The sequence below is a fragment of the Homo sapiens genome, chromosome 11, assembly GCF_000001405.40.
Source record: "Homo sapiens chromosome 11, GRCh38.p14 Primary Assembly".
NCBI classification, from domain to species: domain Eukaryota; kingdom Metazoa; phylum Chordata; class Mammalia; order Primates; family Hominidae; genus Homo; species Homo sapiens.
Genome location: NC_000011.10, coordinates 128,925,466 through 128,944,486, shown reverse-complemented (window position 1 = coordinate 128,944,486; position 19,021 = coordinate 128,925,466). Strand labels below are relative to the sequence as shown.

Genomic DNA, 19,021 nt, shown 5'->3' with positions numbered 1-19,021 from the left:
CCTGGCCAACATGGTAAAACCCCATCTCTACTAAAAAATACAAAAGTTAGCTGGGTGTAGTGGTGGGTGCCTATAATCCCAGCTACTCCGGAGGCTGAGGCAGGAGAATTGTTTGAACCCAGGAGGTGGAGGTTGCAGTGTGCTGGAGGTTGCGGTGTGCTGAGATGGCACCACTGCACTCCAGCCGGGGTGACAGAGTGAGACTCTGTCTCAAAAAAAAAAAAAAAAAAAAGATTGCTAGGGGAAGGCTGGAAGCCCAGGGAGGAAGCAGGTGTTCCCTGCCCAGCAGTGATTGCTCCCTGGTTGCTGGAGGAACGATGGAATCAGAGTCACCCGAGGACCAAAGCTCCACACCTCTTGCTATCCCAGACTCTCTGGAACACCAGGAAGAAAACATATTTGGACAAAAATTATTCTTTGCAACATTAGAACTTTTGATTCTGGAATGAGACAAGGAAATATGTATGTATCTCAGAGAGACAATGAATTTTTAAAAGGAAATTGGGACCGTTTCTCAGGGTGAGATGTCTTATCCGGTTAACTGCGAGCCCCCAGGGATTTCTACTCAGAGTGTTCATCACATCAGGTTTCCATTCTCTACAATAAAAACATGGCTAGGGAGAAATTACCCAGCACTGGCAAGAAAGAGCTCCAAAATAGAAGCAGCTTTTGAGGAATTTGGAGGGATAAAACGGAATAGTATGTCTGAAAGTTGGCAACATGTAAAAAGGCTAAAAATGACAATTCTGCCTGTGATACTATGTCTAGTGTGCAACGCTTCATTCAAAAGGCAGGCACGTCTCCCCTCCAGGCGGGAGTGGGAATCTCAGTGGGGAACCGGGAACTGCGTTTGAGCTGATGCAGACTCAGGGTCAACTCGACAAGGGAGCCCGGCACCCAGACACAGCGGCGTTCACCTCACCTTGCACCGTCTTTGTCGGTCTTACAGGCATCAGCTTTCCCAGCCTCATTTGAGCCGGGATCTGAGTTGCATTTCTTTCTGGGTCAGGCCTTGCCATTAGGGAGAGATGAAGTCAACTGATGAGCGTGCCAGCCTTGAGGAAGGACAGAGTGCGGGAAGCAGAGTGTGGGAAGTTGGAAAAAATAATCTGCAAGGTAAACACCTTCAAGTCAATTTCAAGAGGCTGGCTAGAAACCGCCAGGACTTCAGGGGGCCCTGTCTCGCGGGTCTCCCTGCGCCCTCAGCACTTTGGCTTGGTATAAGGCCACCTTGTCCCTGAAGAGAGGCCTATTTTAAGCTGAGCAAGAAAAGGTGAGAAAGACTAAAATCAGCTTTGTGCAGAGACGCCAATTTCTGCTGCACACATGGAAACGATGTGCACATACAGCGAGCTGGCCCAGCTCCCGGCCACGTGGCTCACACTGTCCGTGCTCACCCACCCGTTGCCTTCACCCCCAGCAGCACTGGTTGTGAAAAGGGTAACTGCCTGAGCCACCCCACCACTGCGGGCCTGCCAAGGACAGGCAGGAACTCAGCCATGCCCCGCAAGGAGCCCAGGGGCATCTCCAGGGACGGCTCCCCAGCCTATGGGCTCGCTCCCTGAGAGGCCGTGCTCGGGCTCGCCTGCTCAGCTCACTCCGAAAGCCTCTGCTCAGACCTGCACCCAGTCACAGCAGCACAGATGTGCAGGAGGAGACCATTTCCACGGACCCTCCGACTCCTAGGAGGCAGGTGAGGAGAGGGGGAGGGAGGGGACCAGCGCTGGTGCTTCAGGTATGCTCTGGCCACTGCGATTCACTCTGCTTTGTGCTTGGGGTTTCACACGCATCTCGGCGACTGTGTGCGGAAAGTACAGTCGTGACCATGCGCAGGTGAGGCCTGGAGGAGGTCAGCTAAACTGCTCTCTCTCAATGGTTCTGAACCCTGAGAGTACATCAGAGTCACCTGGAGGACTTACGAAAACACACACTGCAGAATTTCTGACTTGGTCGATGCAGGTTGGGGCCAAAAATGTGTATCTCTAACAGGTTCCTGGGCGATGCTGACGCCGATGCTGTGCGTCCTGAGCCACACTTGGGGAGCTACTGCGCAAGCTCGCACAGCTAGCCGACCGCTGAGCTGGGGCTCAGACCTGGGTCAGTCCTGGTCCACAGGCCAGCCCCTTTCTCACGTCCCCTGGTGAACGGCGGCATGGTGGCCTCATGGACACTGAGCAGGGCCCCTAGGGAAGCCTGTATGGAGGCCACTTCACTTTGAATGGATCTGGGATAGAGGAAGGACGCGAGCTGTGGGAGCCTGGGTCCTGGGCACAGCGGGCATGTCATGGCAGGGTTCACCAGCCTCCTTTCAGCAGTTCCCTAGTTCTGCCCCAGCTACCTGTGGTTGGTGGTGGGAGGTTTATTTGTTAGTTCCTTCAGCAGTGACTCACCACACTTACTGAGAGCTTACCGTGTGCCAGGACTGCCACAGGTATGGGGATGCAGAGTGTCCACAGCCCCCCAGAAGATTGATGATAGCACCCTCCATGTAGGAAGGGCTGTGACTGCAGACAGGGCATGGGGCGGGGCACCTGTGTTTGCCACAACCTCTAGAGGGTCCCTTCATATTCACGTCTGTGCGTGGGGCCCTCCTCCACCCAGATCTGCTTCCGCAGCACAGCCACACAAGTCTACAGCTGGTGACTGTGGCTGGCAAGCAGGGGAAGGTGGGTGGGGGCGGCAGCCGTGGGCTTTCCACTGGGTCCCAGCAGACCAAGTCCTGGTACAAGGAAGCACGGGCTGGCACTGGCAAACCCTCCTCAGGGAGCAGCAGGCCAGGAACCTGGGCTGGGACTAATTATTGCTGAAGAGAGAACAGGGCCAAGTGTCCCTCATGTCCCCCCAGCAGCCGGGGCAAGCAGAGAAAGAAATGTCGGAACCGGGGAGAGGCCCCTGCCTCTGCACAGGGCTAAACATCATGCCAGCTGGCAAGGGAGAAATGGGTACAGGGCCCAGGGGCATTATCACAGAAGAAGGCAATGAAAGGTGCGTTGGGGGCTGAGGCAACCCATTATAACTGCACACATCACACACCAGGGATCCACTAATTTAGACTACAATGTGAATGGTCTTTTGAAACTGAGATGTGTGGGGGCCCAGAGGGAGGGATCCACCCAGCTGGGAGGAGGTTAGGGAGGTCTTCCTTAAAATACTTCCTGTTCCGTCTCAGAGAACCCATGGACACTGGCCAGGGGAGGGAGAGGAAACACGTCGCAGGTGGAGAGAATCGCTTGTGTGAGGGCACAGAGCGGGGCAAGAAGACAGTGGTGGGCTTTCCCCAGGAGCTGTTCGGCAGAGGGAAAGTGGATGCTGAGCTCTTCCTCTTCCCTGGAGCAAGTCCCATTTCCTCAGAGAACACGGCCCCCTTGGGCCAAAAGGACATGAAGAAGCTCTTGCTAATGCCAGCCTGGCTCTCCTCATCCCGCCCCCTGCACCCCTGCCCTTCTGGCTGCCCTCCCTTCTCCTAGCTCTGTCCCCTCTCACTTCAGGAGTCTCAAGTCCTTCAGACTACTCCAAAGTCGGGGGATCTCTGGATGGGTAGGAGGTGATCTCACCGCCTCCTCTCTTGCCCGGGCTTGTCGAGATGAACTTCCTGATGCTGGCGGCGCTGAAGCTGACACTAGCGGGGGCACCTCCCTGACATGAACGCCCCTCGAGACTGGGCCAGTGCTCCTGATGCCTGGGCACCTGCGGAAAGGCACCCAGCGTGGCCGCCGTGGCATGCCTTGAGTGTGTGGGTGGGGACTGTTGCAAACTGACATTCCAGCTGTCCCAGTCCATTTTGTGCTGCTCTCACACAACCCCGGAGAGTGGGCGATTCACAAAGGACAGAAATGTATCTTCCCACAGCTCTGGAGCCAGGTGCCAGCAGGTTCTGTGCCTGGTGATGGCTCCAGTCTCTGCTTTCATGATGGTGCCTTGCTGCTGCGTCCTCCAGAAGGGACAAAGGCTGCCGTCCTCACATGGCTGAAGGTGGAAGGGCAACGAGTGAATGTACTCCCTCCACACAGCACCTACATCAGGACACCTGATTCCATTCATGGCCTAATCCCCTCTTAAGGCCCCACCTCTTAATGCTAGCACATTGGCAACACCTGGATTTTGCGGGGGAAACACGTTCAAACCATAACACCATCTAAGGCTGCTTCTGCCTGAGACAAGTGTGCTCATGTCTGCCTCAGAGACGGGGCCAAAAGCAGCTTGCTCTGCCCTGCCCTGGAAGCAGGACAGAGGATAGCTGTCATCTCTCCCTTCCAATGCCAGCTCATTGTCTCAAACAAAACTTGGCCCCTTGTGCCCTCTAAGGAGTGGGTTCCTGTGCAGGGGCTCCAAGGTTCTTTGTGATAATAGACCAGGGAGGGCAAGTTGGTTCCCTCTCATGCTTGGCATCCAGGTGTTTGAGGGTAGCTGCCCAGGGCCCTGTGTTGAGGGCACTATGGTCAGAGCTGGAGCAAGGGGGGGCTGGGTGCATGATGAGTTTGCATGGCAGCTGGAAGTGTCCCCTCTGAGTGGCTCCCTGGATATCCCGGGACCACTGGCCGTGTGCAACCTGAGTCCCGGCATGAACTCCGCTGGGACCCTCCTTCGTGTTAACGCTTCACTTTTCAAACAGGAAATAGAAGGAAAACAAAGCTGCTTTCTAACAAACACTTTGATTTTAAAGCCAGAGTATGAGTCAGAAACATCATCCATTGCAGCCAGCTTTACATGGGAATAGCCCAGTTCTTCAAAAGAAGCAGCTGTCATTTCATGGCACCGAGGCATCGTGTTTCCAGAAGAGCCACAGTCCCTCTTGCATTAAGATGGGTTGTGACGGACCTCTTAGAGAATCCGACAGTTTCGGGTTGGAAAGGGGATCCCTTTTGTTCTGTCTGGACAGTAAGGCAGTGCATCATCTACAGGTGCATCCGCTGCATGGCTGCTGGCTTGTGGCCTGACAAAATGCCCAGCATTGAACCAGATGCATAGGTGTGAACTCTGGAGAATCCTGTTTTCAGTGGCTGGAAGACGGAGGTGTAGGCACCAGCTCAAACTCTTCACCTCACGCCTTCTATCCTGCAGACCCCAGCAGGCCACATGGTGACCTTCTATGTCCATCTGGGACAGCAGTCAGCTGCCCCTGCCTCTGCGGGGAGTGAGCAATGGGCCGCAGGATCACTTGTCCTGGGCAGCTCTTCTGGGGGTGGCTTTGCATTGCTGCTGGGATTTGGGAGTCCAGGGCCTGTGGTCTCCTGGGGGCTGCGTGCAGAGTGTCTTCCCCAGAACCAGATGGGGAAGGGAGCCGCAGGGAAAGAACGTGACCTTTGGGCTCAATCCTGGTATTGAAGCCGTGTTCGTTCTTTTACATTTTCGTAACGTGCAGCATTGGGTAAATGCCTTCTGAGTTTGGTTAGTGCTTGTTAAATTGGGCGAGAACTTCATAAGGTTGCAGGAAGTATTCCGAGAAATGGTACACGCACAGTACTTAGCGTGGTCACCGCACATGGCCAGCATGTACCAAACTGGTCCGAATTGACTAGAATGGGGAGGGTGGGAAGCGACAATCTCTACGTTCTCTTTAACCTGAGGTGTCTGATGCTACTTGCTGGGCTTCTGGCCTGTGATGAGTGCTCCCACTCCCTGCTGCCCTGAGACCTGTGTGGCTTTCAGGGTATTCTTTTTTCTCAGTGCCTTTGTGTGGAGAGCCGCTGTCTCCCTCCATTCTGTGGGTGATGCAGGTGGCGCTGCTGTGAGCTGCCCCTGGAGGTCATGGATAGGCTGTCAAGGACGGGGCCTGCCATTCCAGAGCTCCCGCCGCCCTGGGGAAGCGATGTGGGCAGTAGCTCAGAATGCAGCTTCTCCCTAGACCCTGGGCCACCGGGGACTTGCGAGAGAAAGAACAGGGACGGGGAAGACTGGATGGTCCTGAAAGCTGAGAGGGGCCACAGAAGCCCAGATGACACAGGACTATGGGAGACAAGTGAGGGCACCAGCTTCCCTGGGTTGAGGGACCGTGATACCCAGGAGGGCAGAGAGGGAGACAGGGCCCGGCTGGCAACCTCTGAGCAGGTGAGTGGGAGAGAGAGCAGGACAGAGAAGGCAGCTCTGTGTTCTGCTCTGATCCGTCTGACTCCACACGGATGTGGAGTTCTCTGAGACTCCTTTCCCTGAATCTGAGAGCTTACTAACAGAAGGCCGGGCCTCTGAGATAGAGATCAGGCATGTAATGAATGAATGTGAATCATGAATACAGCTGGAGCACCCCTCATCAGGGTAGCCCACACCTTACAACCGTGGACACAGAGGCCTTGTTGCTTCCCCGAAAGTCTAGTTAATGCCTAGTTAATATCTAATTAATGACCAGTTAACGACAACGCTCCTAACTCCATCATCCCACCCCCTTTCCCCAAATTCAGCACAAATGGCTTCAGTTTGAGTTTCCCAAAGCATCTCCTCAGGTGTGTGGTTACAGCCCAGCCCTAGGGTCTCTGGGTGCATCGGCTTCCCCCTCCCAGATCCAAGTACAACTGAAACCCTAACAGTAGAAATCATCATTGCTGGCCCAGCGCTGCCACCACTGCTTCTGTTCATAGCCTGTTTTGTTTGTTTTTAGTCCCTTAGGGACTGGCCCTAACAACAAATGAGGAGAAGCCAAGTTCTCTGCTTTCTGCAGACAGGGCCTCCCCTGGATGGGATCTTCCTCTGAGGCGAGCTTCAGATCTGCTCAAGCTTCCTGCAGTGGGGCCAGGAGGCAGGGCCTGGGCAGGGGAGACCAGAACCTCTCGGTGATGCCTCCGAATGGCAGGGCTCAGACACACACACCTGGCTGGGTAAGTCCCTGCAGTGAAAACCGAGACGGTCTTTTGCCTGCCACAGCCCCGGGCAGACTCTGCTCTCACCGTGGTGCCGACATCCCAAGTTTTCAGACTCACCAGGACCCAGTGACAGCATCTGGGTCCTCAGAGCTGCATGCGGACTGTCCCCAGTTCAGAGCATTGGACAGAGCTGGGAACTGACAGCCCTGATCAATAGTCCCAAGAGGAAGGCCAGCCCTCCTCCTCCTCGGAATCCTGGGTTTCTAGGAGGCAGAAAGGTTTTCTGAGAAACAAGGCTTTTGGAAGGAAGGTGGTGCCTGGCTGCATCCAGAAAGTGAGAGCTAAATGGAGAGGCTGAACAAAGGACGCATGTGGAGCGCATGGGGAGGGAAGGCTGGGGTGCAGGGCTCCGGGCCTGCTCTTCTGCGTCCACCCCGGATCCTGCTTTTGTCCAGATGGGCCTCGGAGCACCAGTCACTTACTCCAAGAAGTCGTTTCCTGTGGCCAATAATGAAGATGACGCACTCGGAAGCTTGTGGGCTCTGAGGAGGGGGTAAGGATGCAGGGGCCATGCATTCATCCCAGCACAGGCAGCGCATGGCTCCGGAAGCAGACACAGGCCAGGCCTGGGCCAGGAGTCTGCCAGGAGCCAGGAGCGCCTACACCTCCCTGGAGGCCCACACTTCTCTCCCCAGAAGCTCACACGCAGCGTCTGAGGTGCAGGGCCCAGGTGTGCTGGGGTGACAAAGCCCCGAGCTGTGGTGATGGGAGGGAGGAAGCGCCGGTTTATGTCTGTTCTTTGGGCTGATTTGCTGTCTCTGTCTTTGTCTCTAATGTCCTTTGCACCACTGACCTTGAGGAGCCTTTTGTTCCTCCTGTCCCAGTTTGGTTTCCATGGGAACCTGAGTGGCAGCGTCATCACTTTGCTGAGGTGAAATGCCCCTGGATGCCATGAATACCTAGGGGAAAACCTGCCAGAGAAGAATAAACCATCCAAGAGACGGCGCTGCAGGGCCTCACAGTCTGCTTCCATTTCCTCTCAGGTTTCAGATCCCTTAGTTTTGGGTGCCCAAGTTCACGGAGGGTGCCGGGGAATAGAAGCTCTGTCAGTCTCGTCTGGATCTTGGTCCTCAGCAACTGTCTGGATCCTGACAGGTGTGTGATAATTACTTAGTGAATTCATGGGTGTGGGCCGTGATAGAATTAAGTGATTTGATGTCCTCTCGATAAATCCAGGTAACGACATAGGGTTTTTTGAGTTTGACCCTCTCCTGAAATTTGCCATCTGACAAAATGACATCATGGCAGAGTTGTAAACTGCTGTGGATGTATTTTATTTAATTTCTCAAATTAAAATAAAAGGTAACGGTACACTTAAGAGTGGTCACTACAGCCAAGCTAATTGACACCCACTGAACTTTCTGGAATGGGCCATAGGATGCTGGACAATAGGACAGATTTGGAATGAGCAGTCTTCCATTCCAACTTTAGTTTCTGCAAAGCTGTTGAGAGCATGGAGCCAGGCTGCGGGGTCTGGGTTCAAATCCTGACTCTACCACTTAGGAGCTGTGTGTACATGGGCAGGACAACTGGCCTGCCTGAGTCTCAGTGTAGGTGTCTGTAAAATGGAATGATAATAGCTTCCATCTCACAGATTCACTGTGTGGGTAAAATGATAGATATGAAATGCTAAGAACAGCACCTGTACGTAGTATGTCCTACATATCTTACTGTTATCATTAGCATATTTTGTTTATTCCAAGATACATTTTTGTTGGCCCATTTGATATCTATGAAATCTAAAGATTTTTTTTCCTGTCTTGGGAGATAGAATAATGATGTGCCTTACAATGGATTGTGTTTTAGATTCACTGAAATTCATTATTGTTGTTTTTATCCCTGGTCTGTAACATGATATTTGGTAAATAACAAGGACTCCATACGTTTTGCAAAGAGTAAATTCTCTCCCTCCCTACTGAGGCCTTGGTCTAGGTCTCTCCAGGCCTTTCCTTCCTGGAGCCACAGTGCTTAGAGACAGGCCACTGGGGTCAGCATTTGAGCTCAGCTATGATCAGAAAAAAGCACCGTTGAGGTTGCAGTGAGCCGAGATCACGCCACTGCACTCCAGCCTGGGCGACAGAGAGAGACTCCATCTCAAAACAAAAACAAACAAACAAACAGAAAGCACCGTCGAGAAATGGCTCCAGCGCTGACTAGCGGCCACCTCATTTCCCCCCTTGACCACTGGGCCAGTTGGGTGGCTAGGTTGCCTCATTTTGCATCCTTCTGTATCCCCAAATCTGAAATAAAAGCTGGAAAAAAATTCTTGTGAAGTTTGCATTCCAATCTATAATATCCACTTGCTAAAAACTAAAAACGATGCATCTCCACAAAACTCTGCAAGGAAAAGTATGCTCCAAGCGTTGTCTCACAGCTATGGCACGCCCGAGGGCACTCCCAGTATGCACTTCCAAGGACGGTTTGAGAAGTGCGGGTTTGATCATCTATAGCAGATGCTGCTGATGCCAACCAGCAAGCCCCGGGCCCCCGCTGGGTGTCCCCCAGCTGCAGTGGACAGTCATTCCTGCTGACACGTTCCTACCACAAGCCCCGGCATTGATAGCTTGGTTTTGTTTTGTGTTTTTCAGTGCAGTAAGAGCTTGCCTGGCCTGTGTGCAGAGCTGCCTCATCCTGAAATTCTGGGAGTTGAAAGCCCCAGGGCAACCCTTAACCAATGGGGGAAAAGCATTGGTGTGTAAATCCCCCAGCTTCCCTGGGTGGGCTGCAGCTGAGCCATAGTCTACATGACACTTCCGAGGATCCCCAGTGGGCATGACCTCAATCGCCCACATTGGATGCCACAACCTGCACTGGCTTTTCTCCCTTCCCTGTGGGTCTCTCTCTGCACTTCCTCCCTTGTGCATTCTAGGTTCACCTTCCAAATAAATGATGTGCACTCAGGGCCTTGTCTCAGTCTCTGACCTCGGGGAAACCTAAACTAAGAAAGTCGATACCAGAAGCAGCCCTGCGGAGTAGCCCCTAAAATGAAATTCTGAGCTGGGATCGCTTGCTGGACACCCTTTGGCTGGTGGTGTGCAGGGTGGTGAGATCTTACTAAGCCTGTGGTGGCTTGAGATGAGGTCCAGGTATAAAAGGACACACTGGCTCATGCAGCAGCCCTGGCAACAAAAAGGCATGGAGGCAGCGGGGATGGTCATGGCCGTGAAGTGGGCTGGTTTGGCTCATTGCAGTAGGAACCCCATGGAGACAGAAAGATGGGCTTAAGCCCACAACTATCAACTCAGGGCTCGCTTTGAGGCCACAGGTCTCCATAGCAGTATTTAAAATGACTCTCATCTGCTACTGACAGAGGACAGGCTGTACTGAAAATGAGGTCTGGAGTTGATCACATGTGTAGTGGAGCTACCAGACGCTGAATGCAGAGCCCCAGCTAACTCCCCACGCTAACAGCAGGGCCCTCATAGGGGAGGATGGGGCCCTGAGATGGGATGATTCATCAGCTGGGTCCTCAGGAAGAATATGCCAAGATGTCGTTAGACGTGCCAGAGATTTACAGGGGTAATGCCTGTGAACAAAATGGGGAACTAAGCAGAAGTAGGCAGAGGGAGCCTCAGGTCACGATGCAGGTCTGACACCTACGAAAGGAGAGGGAGGAGGAAGGAGGGTCAGGCAGGAAGATCCTCAGACTGCAGGCTGCTCAGAAAACTTTTGGTGAGTGGCACAGGGGCTCCAGCCCAAGACTGCCCGTAGAGGAGCCCACCATGGCAGTCATCATCAGCTGGGCTCTGCCTGGGAAGCACATGGCCTTGATGTGCAGGCCCCTGTCACTGGAGGCTGTCAGCTCATTGCATTCCTTGGGGCTGGGTCTGTCATGAAGGGAGACCATTATCTGTATTTTGCAAAGGAGGTTAAGTAAAGGACATGAGGTCACTGAGCAAGCTGTAGATCCAAGGCTTGCTTCTGGGTTAGCCGGCTCCAAGACACATGTGCTGAATCTCTGACCCTTGTGGCTTTGGAGAGTGAGCCGGCAGTGGGCAAGACCAGGCTCTTGATAACAGTAGAAGTTAAAGTGCACTTGGAGTCTTGGCTGCAGGTGGGACAGTGCCAAAACCTGGAGATGCCAGCTTGACTCCAGATGGCAGTGAGAAGTGCAGGACACATCTGCAAGGGCAGCCTGAGGCCATCTGTGTAGGGGGGACATTGCAGAGCTCTGTGAGCTCAGACTGGTCTCCCTCAATTCCCTCTGCTCACATCAGTATCCATGATCATTTCCAAGAATCCAGGCCCCCAGTGCGGCTGCAGCCCACACCCCACCTCCCTACCGCAAAGATGGCTCCCTACCCAGGGCCAGGCTACCGTGTTGTGCCTACCTGTCTGTTTGGGGACAGACCTGAGTTTTCACTTCTGCAGCTGCATTCTGTGCAGATGCTGGTTGGGCTGCCCCGTCCATGGGGTAGGGCAGGGACCCCACCACCCAGGTCCACAGATGGTGACAGGTGAGTGAACAAGGAAATCGGAGGGACCTGAGGAAGCTCCGAGCATGGGTGGCCTCACGACAATTCCTGACAACCTTTCACTAGGGTTAGGTTGCACTTTCACCCTGGGGGCCTGTTTTAAAAATGAAGCAGCCCCTATGGACCCACACACATGCACACCCTGCAGAGGAGGATAAACGCAAGACCAGGGTATCCCAAACTGTCCTTTTCAGATCATCAACATCTAAATGGCAGAGGATGCACTTTTTTTTTTTTTTTTGAGATGGAGCCTGGCTCTGTCACCCAGGCTGCAGTGCAATGGTGCCATCTCAGTTCACTGCAACCTCCGCCTCCTGGGTTCAAGCCATTCTCCTGCCTCAGCCTCCCGAGTAGCTGGGACTACAGGCATGCACCACCACACCCAGCTAATTTTTGTACTTTTTTAGTAGAGACGATGTTTCACCATGTGGGCCAGGCTGTTCTCAAACTCCAAAGTGCTGGGATTACAGGTGTGAGCCACCATGCCCGGTCAGGATGCATGTTTAAATGCAGACTCCGGGGCCCACATCAGACATACTGGATCTTCACGTCTGCACCCAGCGTTCTCTAGGTCACACTCACACTTTCCAAACTCTGACAACAGCTCCACAAGGAGGCTCCGGATGTCAGCAGTGAAGGGTGTTAAGGGGTCATCTGGTTAAATGCCTGCATTGCAGGGGTGAGGAAACCGAGTGTGAGATAGACAGTCAGCCCTCTGGGCTCAGGCTCTGTGACTGCTGCTCTGCCTCACAAGCGAGAACCTTTTGAGTTAACACTCTAATATGCTGATCAATTTATCATATCATTTCCCCCTCGTAGGGACAGCCTAAGGGCATAAACTGTCAAACTGCTCCCTCCTAGTGATCAGATGGGCTAAAGTGGGCATAGGTCCCAGATTCAGCAAATAAAGATACAGTACACCTAATTCAATTGAATTTCAAGTAACCAACAGAAAACTTTTCAGTATAAGTAGGTCCCCGGAACTGCATGGGACACACTTATGTTCTAACATTAGTCATTGATCAGCTGAAATTTCAATGGAGCTGGGAAGCCTGTATTTTTATTTGTTAAATCTGGCAACTCTACTCCCAGGAGTTAGCACCCCTATTAAGGCAATGAAATGGATGCAGTGTGGTGGCCTCTACTGAGATGTGGTTATGCACAGGGGATCTTCTGTGGATACTGCAGGGGTAGGAGGAGGAGCAGCTGTCAACCCCGCAGGCTATATATAACTCGACAGGTGGAGACACGGAGGAAGATCATGTGTGTCTGGAGAACACAGGGATTGGCCATAAGCCCCCAGGAATGCTCTACTGCCTGTCCTTGGAAGTTGCCTTAGTCAGCTTGGGCTGTATCATAGAACACCATAGATGGAGTGGCTTCAACAATAAACAGTTATTTCTCGCAGCTCTGGAGGCTGAGAAGTCCATGATGAAGGTGCCAGCAGATCTGATATCTCGTGAAGTTTCACGTCCTGGTTTGCAGAAGCCCACCGTCTCCTTGTATCCTCACATGAAGCAAAGAGAGAAGAGTCTTGTCTCCTCTTGGTTCTTTTTTTTTTTTGAGACAGAGTCTCACTCTGTCACCCAGACTGGGGTGCCAGGACCTCCCAGACCCAAGCGATTCTCCTGCCTCAGCCTCCTGAATTGCTGGGACTACAGGTGTGTGCCAGCACACCAGACTAATTTTTGTATTTTTTGTAGAGATGGGGTCTTGCTATGTTGCCCAGGCTGGCCTTGAACCTCTGAGCTCCAGTATATGCCCACCTCAGCCTCCCAAAGTGCTGGGATGACAGGCATGAGCCACCATGACCCGCCTCTTCCTCTTTCCACTAAGGCACTAATGCCACTCCCAGGGCCCCAACCTCCTGACCTCATCTAAGACTAATCCCTTCCCAAAGGCCCCACCTCCAAATCCCATCACATTGGGGTTAGGGTTTCAACGTGGGAATTTGGGGTTGGGGGACACAAACATTCAGTCCAGAGCAAAGGCAAAAACCGATGTCCAACACATACATAGAGGTTGAGGGAGGGGAGAGAAAATCCACTCCATATGACAGGGAGAGTGGAACAGGAAGGAAACAGGCAGAGATGAGAACGCCTGGCTGGGATGGGGAGTAGGGAGTGCCAGGTTTACAACCCCTGCCCTCCTGAACCCTTGCCCTCCCTAATCCCTGCCTCCATAATCCCTGCCTCCATAATCCCTGCCTCCCTAACCCCGGCCTCCCTAACCCCGGCCTCCCTAACCCCGGCCTCCCTAACCCCAGCCTCCCTAACCCCCTGGCCTCCCTAACCCCGGCCTCCCTAACCCCGGCCTCCCTAACCCCGGCCTCCCTAACCCCAGCCTCCCTAACCCCGGCCTCCCTAACCCCGGCCTCCCTAACCCTGGCCTCCCTAACCCCGGCCTCCCTAACCCCGGCCTCCCTAACCCCGGCCTCCTTAACCCCTGGCCTCCCTAACCCCAGCCTCCCTACCCTGGCCTCCCTAACCCCGGCCTCCCTAACCCCAGCCTCCCTAACCCCGGCCTCCCTAACCCTAGGCCTCCCTAACCCCGGCCTCCCTAACCCTAGGCCTCCCTAACCCCTGGCCTCCCTGACCCTTGGTCTCCCTAACCCCCAGCCTCCCTACCCCGGCCTCCCTAACCCTAGGCCTCCCTAACCCCCGGCCTCCTTCTCAGTGGCAGTTTTCTCCTTGTACCTCCAGGGAGGGTGGGGAGAAGAAGGGATGGGAGCGGGGAGCGGGGGAGGGAATTATCTAGACAGCCAATTCCAAATTTGACCTCCAAATGCACTCTCTAGTTCCTCGCTCTCCTCAGGAAGTGCTTCAGGTGCCAGGGCAGCTGGCCCCCCGAGAGTCTGCTCAGCTCTCAGGACAGATGCCCGGCTGCTCGCAGGCTGCAGCGCCCTGGGGGCTGAGGTCATTGTTTTGCTGTATGACCTGACAAATGATTTCTCTGGGGGCGCTTCTGCTCTAGAAGAATGTGCTATAGCCTTCCACCGTGACTAATTCCACGTCTCCCTCAGATCTGAAGTGTATTCATCACTGCAAAGCAGCCGTCTGCTTCATGAGCAGTGGCTCCACTGGGTGCCCGTGCAAGTAGGCAGAGAATCCCATTTCTAAAGGTTCTGATGGGTTCCTCCCCCATGTGAACGCGGGATCCCTCCCCCACCAACAAACCTCACAAGCCAAGGGGGCAGGGGGAGCTTGCTTTTCTAGAAAGGGCGCTCATCTGATCTCTCATGTACAGGGTCAGAGGGGAGCTGAGCCTTGTTAGCCAGGATGGGCCCTTGGCCCAGCATCCTGCGTGGAGCATGTGGGCTGCATGGTTGGCTCTGACTTGGGTGCCTACCAGAAGCCCCTGAGCCAGGACCTGGTGTGGTGGTGCTGGGCACAGGGCGGCCAGGTGCTTAGTACGTGCTCAGCAAATCAATGCAGGATCAGGCTGGGTGAGTTGTAAAGGAGGAGGAGGGAGTGTCCTGGGAGAGTGTGGGGGAGGGGGGGGCTCCCCTCGGGGGAAAGTCCCTCTCAGAGCAGCACTAACAAGAGCACAGCTGAGTGGTGCTGGAGAAGATGCCTGGCCAGCTTGGCCCAACAGGTTCTTGGAAAGCCAAGGATGATGGGGAAAACACCGGGACAGTGACACAAAGGAGGACAAGAGTGGAAGAGCTGTGGCCTCTCTCCACACATGGCCCCGATTTAAAGGGGGAGAGGTGGTAATGTTTACAGGGATGCCACTTTGAGTAAAGCCGAGCCCAAGAGATCTTATTTAATTCTGTAATAGTCCACGAGGTAGTTACCACTGTGCTGCAGACAAAGAGACTCAGAGGCTGAATCTGGGTCTGTCGGATTGAAAAGGCTTTTTTGGCAGGGCACAGTGGCTCACGCCTGTAATCCCAGCACTTTGGGAGGCTGAGGCAGGGGGATCAGTTGAGGTCAGGAGCTCGAGAGACCAGCCTGGTCAACATGGTGAAACCCTATATCTACTAAAAATACAAAAATTAGCTGGGTGTGGTGGCGCATGCCTGTAATCCCAGCTACTCGGGAGGCTGAGGCAGGAGAATCGCTTGAAACCTGGGAGTCGGAGGTTGCAGTGAGCTGAGATCTCACCACTGCACTCCAGCCTGGGTGACAGAGTGAGACTCTGTCTCAAAAAAAAAAAAAAAAAAAAAAAAAAAGGCTTTTTTTCTTCCAAGATAACATGGACACTTGAAGTGCAGCTGAAAATGCTTGCAGCTCTCCATCTGGGTGGTGTTTGAAGAAGATGGCAATATGCTTATGCAAGGGTAGAATATTAATATAATGTGTAGGTTTTCCATGTATTACTCTAATTGTAAACTAGTGAATAAGGCAGAGGTGATTGTAGTCCACTGGAAGGTCAGTAAGAAAGAAGTGAGCTATATAATTAGGAATGTATTGCTATGAATCTTGGAGGGGGTGTGTCTTGGTGTGCATGTTGTAGATGTATGAGTGAAAATGTCACAGTCTGCCGGACATGTCTGTGAAACCTGGCTGAAGGGTTTTGCTAAAGAAACTGAAAGCTTTCTTGAGAAAGGCAGGGTAAGGAGGGAGGGGCACCCGGAAGTGATGGGCACTGACTCCTCAGATGCACAGACCGTCCTGTAGCAAATAAGACGAAATGGAACCACATGGGACATGCCACTGAAACTACAGCCAAAGCTGCTTATGAATTATCTTCCAGAATCGGCTATCCTAGGCAGAGGCAAACACAAATTAAGGGCTATGGGGTGCATTGGGTGACAGTGATGTAGGAATGTAGGAATCAAAGTTTATATTAACTACGAAGTTCTTCCCCCACAGCTGGCGTCTGAGATATTCCCCCCTGAGATCTCATATTGCAAAAGGAGCCAGTTGTTTCCTTCCACACACCTTTCTGCCCACCAGCTATTTCATTGATTCAACTGTCTTTTCTCCAGTTGATGGGAAAATGCAAATCTGTAAGGAGAATATGGAAATTCACTCTTTTAAGCCAGCTACCTGTCAGACATCACAATAGAAACCAACGCAGTGACAGGAAGTTTAAAGGAATGCTTCAAAAATGAAAATAAGGCATTTAAATGGACAGTGGAAATCAAGGGAAATTGCAAAGCTACAACATGAAAAGAGCTAATTAAGAGGAAGTCAGAGCAGCCCAGATCCTGTGATGAGCAAGCCAGCAGACAACATGGCCGCACTCAGAGGGGAGGAAAGCGGGGTCAGTGAAGCCCAGGGCTGCAGGAGAGGTCCTTTGGCCGTCCTCGGCGATGGTGGGTCTGCGGGGAGCAGATGGGTTGCGGTGGGGATGGTGAGGGCTGCTCTGCTCAGGAGGTGCATAAACCAGCGCAGCCTCGGGCTTGGCCCTGGCATGTTCCCCACTGATGACCCTTCCGTGGGATCCTTGCTCAGCATCCCCCAGAATCACAGGGACCATGGAAGCAGCAGTTGTGCTGGTTTCTGGGAGGGTCTTGCCTGTTAACACCTGGAGAGTGCTTGAAGGCCGGGGCTATGGGGATTTGAGAGTTTAAAATCAATAATTCGCAGAATGATCGGATCAAGGCAGAGGGGAGTGTGAGGGAGGAACCCGGGCCTCTGGCTTGCAGAAGCAAATGGACAGAACATTTGAATGGACAGAGGCATCCTCCTTTCCAGCCTCTGTCCATTCAGTGAGTGAGCCCTTGAAGCGTCAGTCCCAGCCTTCCTCTCTGTCCATGCTCTGCTTCCTTCGAGGACAGTCTTAGCTAGGAACTCAGCTTCAGGTCCCACTTACAGCCTGATGACTCCCAAACTTAGGACTTTCACCGTTCTGTCTTCAGAGGTCTAGGTATATGCAAATGCTGGCTTTTGAGGGTCCTCAGATGCAAACGTGCAAATGCAGGGGCTTGGCTCAAAGCCAAACTCACGCAATTCTCCTTCCAACTCCTTTAAATTAGATTCTACTCCAGTGCAGCTGGGCTCAGGGATTGTGCAGCCTCCGTCCATTTGCTTCTGCAAGCCAGAGGCCCGGGCTCCTCCCGAACGCTCCCCTTTGCCTCCATCCGATCGTTCTGCGAATTATTGCCCTTAAACTGTCAAATCCATCTACATATCTGTAGCTCCACTGCCTCCTCAGTCCAAGTGGCCATCACTTCTCACCCAGCTGGCCCCCGCATGCCTTCTCTTGCCCCTTTGGAGCCACTGTCCCGCATGGCCAGTTGGCAAGTGCAGTCCCCTGCTGGTCTCTGGCAGGAATGTGGCTAAGAGGGCGCAGGGGGCCAGCAGGGTGGGGCAGAGGACACAGAAGCGGGATGGCAGGTGCCTCTCAGGTCCGCAGGGGTTTCTCTCAGGTTCACAGGGGCCTCTCTCAGGTTGGAGGATGAAGGGCAGCGATTCCTTTTCATTTCTGTTTCTTTTTTTAAAACTTGGAGCATGAAAGACATCTTGGGAACTGTGTTCACTGTAACCTAAGAAAGAGGGATGCCTGTGCTGTAGCCTGGAGGAGCCCAGTGGAAACCCTCAGGAGATCCAGAATAGCTCTCCGCAGACAGACCTCTGCGCACAGAGGCGGCGAGGAAGGCCCCCGGCAGGGTGCTGGGCACGGCTGGTTCCCGAGATTCAGGGGAAGTCTCCTACAGAGCGCGCTCTGCAAGCCCTAGCTGCGGAGAGGATGAAGGTTTTGCCTGGAATTGGCACTGTCTTTTGATGGCAGATTTTAAACGTGTAAATCATAAATGCTGACCTGATGGCAAATCATTGCTTTTGTTGACAACACCTGCATGTTTAGTCTCTTCTTTCACTATTTTTTTTTTTAATGAATGTGTCCATGTGTTTTTACCCAGTTCTTGCCTCTTGTCCAAGAACCTGGTTCTTGGTTCTTGTCCAACAATGTGGACATTTGTCTTTATAAAATAGAATGATGTTTCTAAACAAACAAAAATTATTCTATGCAATGAATCAGAGCAATCAGCGCAGAACCCTCCTTCCAGCTCGGCTGCAGGCTCCCAAAGGGCAGGGACTGAGTCAGCTTTGTTTCCCCAGGTCCTGGTGGGGTGCTTGGGACACAGAAGGGGCTTGGCAAATGTTTGCTGAGTGTACATCTAGCCTAAAAAGATGGCCTGGAAAGGCGTCTAGGAACACCCTCATTGTACATGAAAAGAATCAGCTCCCAAATCCCTCCACCCTGAAAGGGTTTTGTCTGTTTGCCGGTTTTTGTTTTTTTAAAGGAACAATCTGATTTCTTTTCTTTCTTTCTTTTTTTTTTTTTTTTTTGAGATGGAGTCTTGTTCTGTCATCCAGGAGTGCAGTGGCGCGATCTCAGCTCACTGCAACCTCCGCCTTCCACGTTCAAGTGATTCCCCTGCCTCAGCCTTCCGAGTAGCTGGGACTACAGGCGTGTGCCACCATGCCTGGCTAATTTTTTGTATTTTAGTAGAGACGGGGTTTCACCATGTTGGTCAGGATGGTCTCGATCTCCTGACCTCATGATCTGCCTGCCTTGGCCTCCCAAAGTGCTGGGATGACATGCATGAGACACTGCACCCGGCCACAATCTGATTTTCATACACGGAGGAAGATGGTTAACATGGCTGGGAAATGGGGCATTATGCATAGAAGGTAGGAGGGCTGCAGGCAGAGGCCAGGGCCCAGGGAGTCCAGGATTGGAGCTGGGAAGAGGATCATGAAAGGGAGAGGGTGGGAGGCAGAGGGGGAGCTGGATTTC

The 19,021-nt window shown here is 53.0% G+C and overlaps 1 protein-coding gene across 10 annotated transcripts, besides 6 other annotated features; it reads left to right on the top strand.

Annotated features, from left to right (window-relative positions):
• Positions 1,616-9,756, top strand: TP53AIP1 (tumor protein p53 regulated apoptosis inducing protein 1). Of its 10 annotated transcripts, XM_017018115.3 has the most exons (5): positions 1,616-1,693; positions 6,653-6,809; positions 7,250-7,347; positions 7,654-7,725; positions 7,838-7,943. In XM_017018115.3, the coding sequence occupies exons 1-5, from the start codon at positions 1,644-1,646 to the stop codon at positions 7,851-7,853; spliced, it is 393 nt and encodes a 130-aa protein (XP_016873604.1). In that variant the 5' UTR covers positions 1,616-1,643; the 3' UTR covers positions 7,854-7,943. The 10 variants fall into 10 exon arrangements, with proteins under 10 accessions (XP_016873604.1, XP_016873606.1, NP_001182124.1 ...); XM_017018117.2 differs by lacking the exons at positions 7,250-7,347; positions 7,654-7,725 and adding an exon at positions 9,443-9,756 and having other exon boundaries at positions 7,838-7,949; NM_001195195.2 differs by lacking the exons at positions 7,250-7,347; positions 7,654-7,725 and adding an exon at positions 9,443-9,756 and having other exon boundaries at positions 6,593-6,809; positions 7,838-7,949.
• Positions 3,273-3,773: an enhancer, noted in NCBI's record as "H3K4me1 hESC enhancer chr11:128810609-128811109 (GRCh37/hg19 assembly coordinates)". NCBI's record gives its function as "activates a minimal SCP1, AML or CMV promoter by ChIP-STARR-seq in primed H9 embryonic stem cells {active_cell/tissue: H9 hESC(primed)}" and the evidence as "EXISTENCE:reporter gene assay evidence [ECO:0000049][PMID:30033119]".
• Positions 5,311-5,811: an enhancer, noted in NCBI's record as "H3K4me1 hESC enhancer chr11:128808571-128809071 (GRCh37/hg19 assembly coordinates)". NCBI's record gives its function as "activates a minimal SCP1, AML or CMV promoter by ChIP-STARR-seq in naive H9 embryonic stem cells {active_cell/tissue: H9 hESC(naive)}" and the evidence as "EXISTENCE:reporter gene assay evidence [ECO:0000049][PMID:30033119]".
• Positions 5,812-6,312: an enhancer, noted in NCBI's record as "H3K4me1 hESC enhancer chr11:128808070-128808570 (GRCh37/hg19 assembly coordinates)". NCBI's record gives its function as "activates a minimal SCP1, AML or CMV promoter by ChIP-STARR-seq in naive H9 embryonic stem cells {active_cell/tissue: H9 hESC(naive)}" and the evidence as "EXISTENCE:reporter gene assay evidence [ECO:0000049][PMID:30033119]".
• Positions 14,746-14,795: an enhancer, noted in NCBI's record as "active region_5746". NCBI's record gives its function as "activates an Ori minimal core promoter by ATAC-STARR-seq in GM12878 lymphoblastoid cells {active_cell/tissue: GM12878}" and the evidence as "EXISTENCE:reporter gene assay evidence [ECO:0000049][PMID:35858748]".
• Positions 14,806-14,905: an enhancer, noted in NCBI's record as "active region_5745". NCBI's record gives its function as "activates an Ori minimal core promoter by ATAC-STARR-seq in GM12878 lymphoblastoid cells {active_cell/tissue: GM12878}" and the evidence as "EXISTENCE:reporter gene assay evidence [ECO:0000049][PMID:35858748]".
• Positions 17,099-18,099: an enhancer, noted in NCBI's record as "H3K27ac-H3K4me1 hESC enhancer chr11:128796283-128797283 (GRCh37/hg19 assembly coordinates)". NCBI's record gives its function as "activates a minimal SCP1, AML or CMV promoter by ChIP-STARR-seq in naive H9 embryonic stem cells {active_cell/tissue: H9 hESC(naive)}" and the evidence as "EXISTENCE:reporter gene assay evidence [ECO:0000049][PMID:30033119]".

Excerpts from the sequence above, each read along its gene's own strand:
- TP53AIP1 (XM_017018113.2), top strand. The coding sequence starts at position 1,644 with ATGTGCAGGAGGAGACCATTTCCACGGACCCTCCGACTCCTAGGAGGC. Across the intron at positions 1,694-6,652 it reads CTCCGACTCCTAGGAGGCAG|ACAGGGCCTCCCCTGGATGG; the intron begins GTGAGGAGAGGG and ends TGCTTTCTGCAG. Across the intron at positions 7,950-8,774 it reads AACTGTCTGGATCCTGACAG|GCCTTGGTCTAGGTCTCTCC; the intron begins GTGTGTGATAAT and ends CTCCCTACTGAG.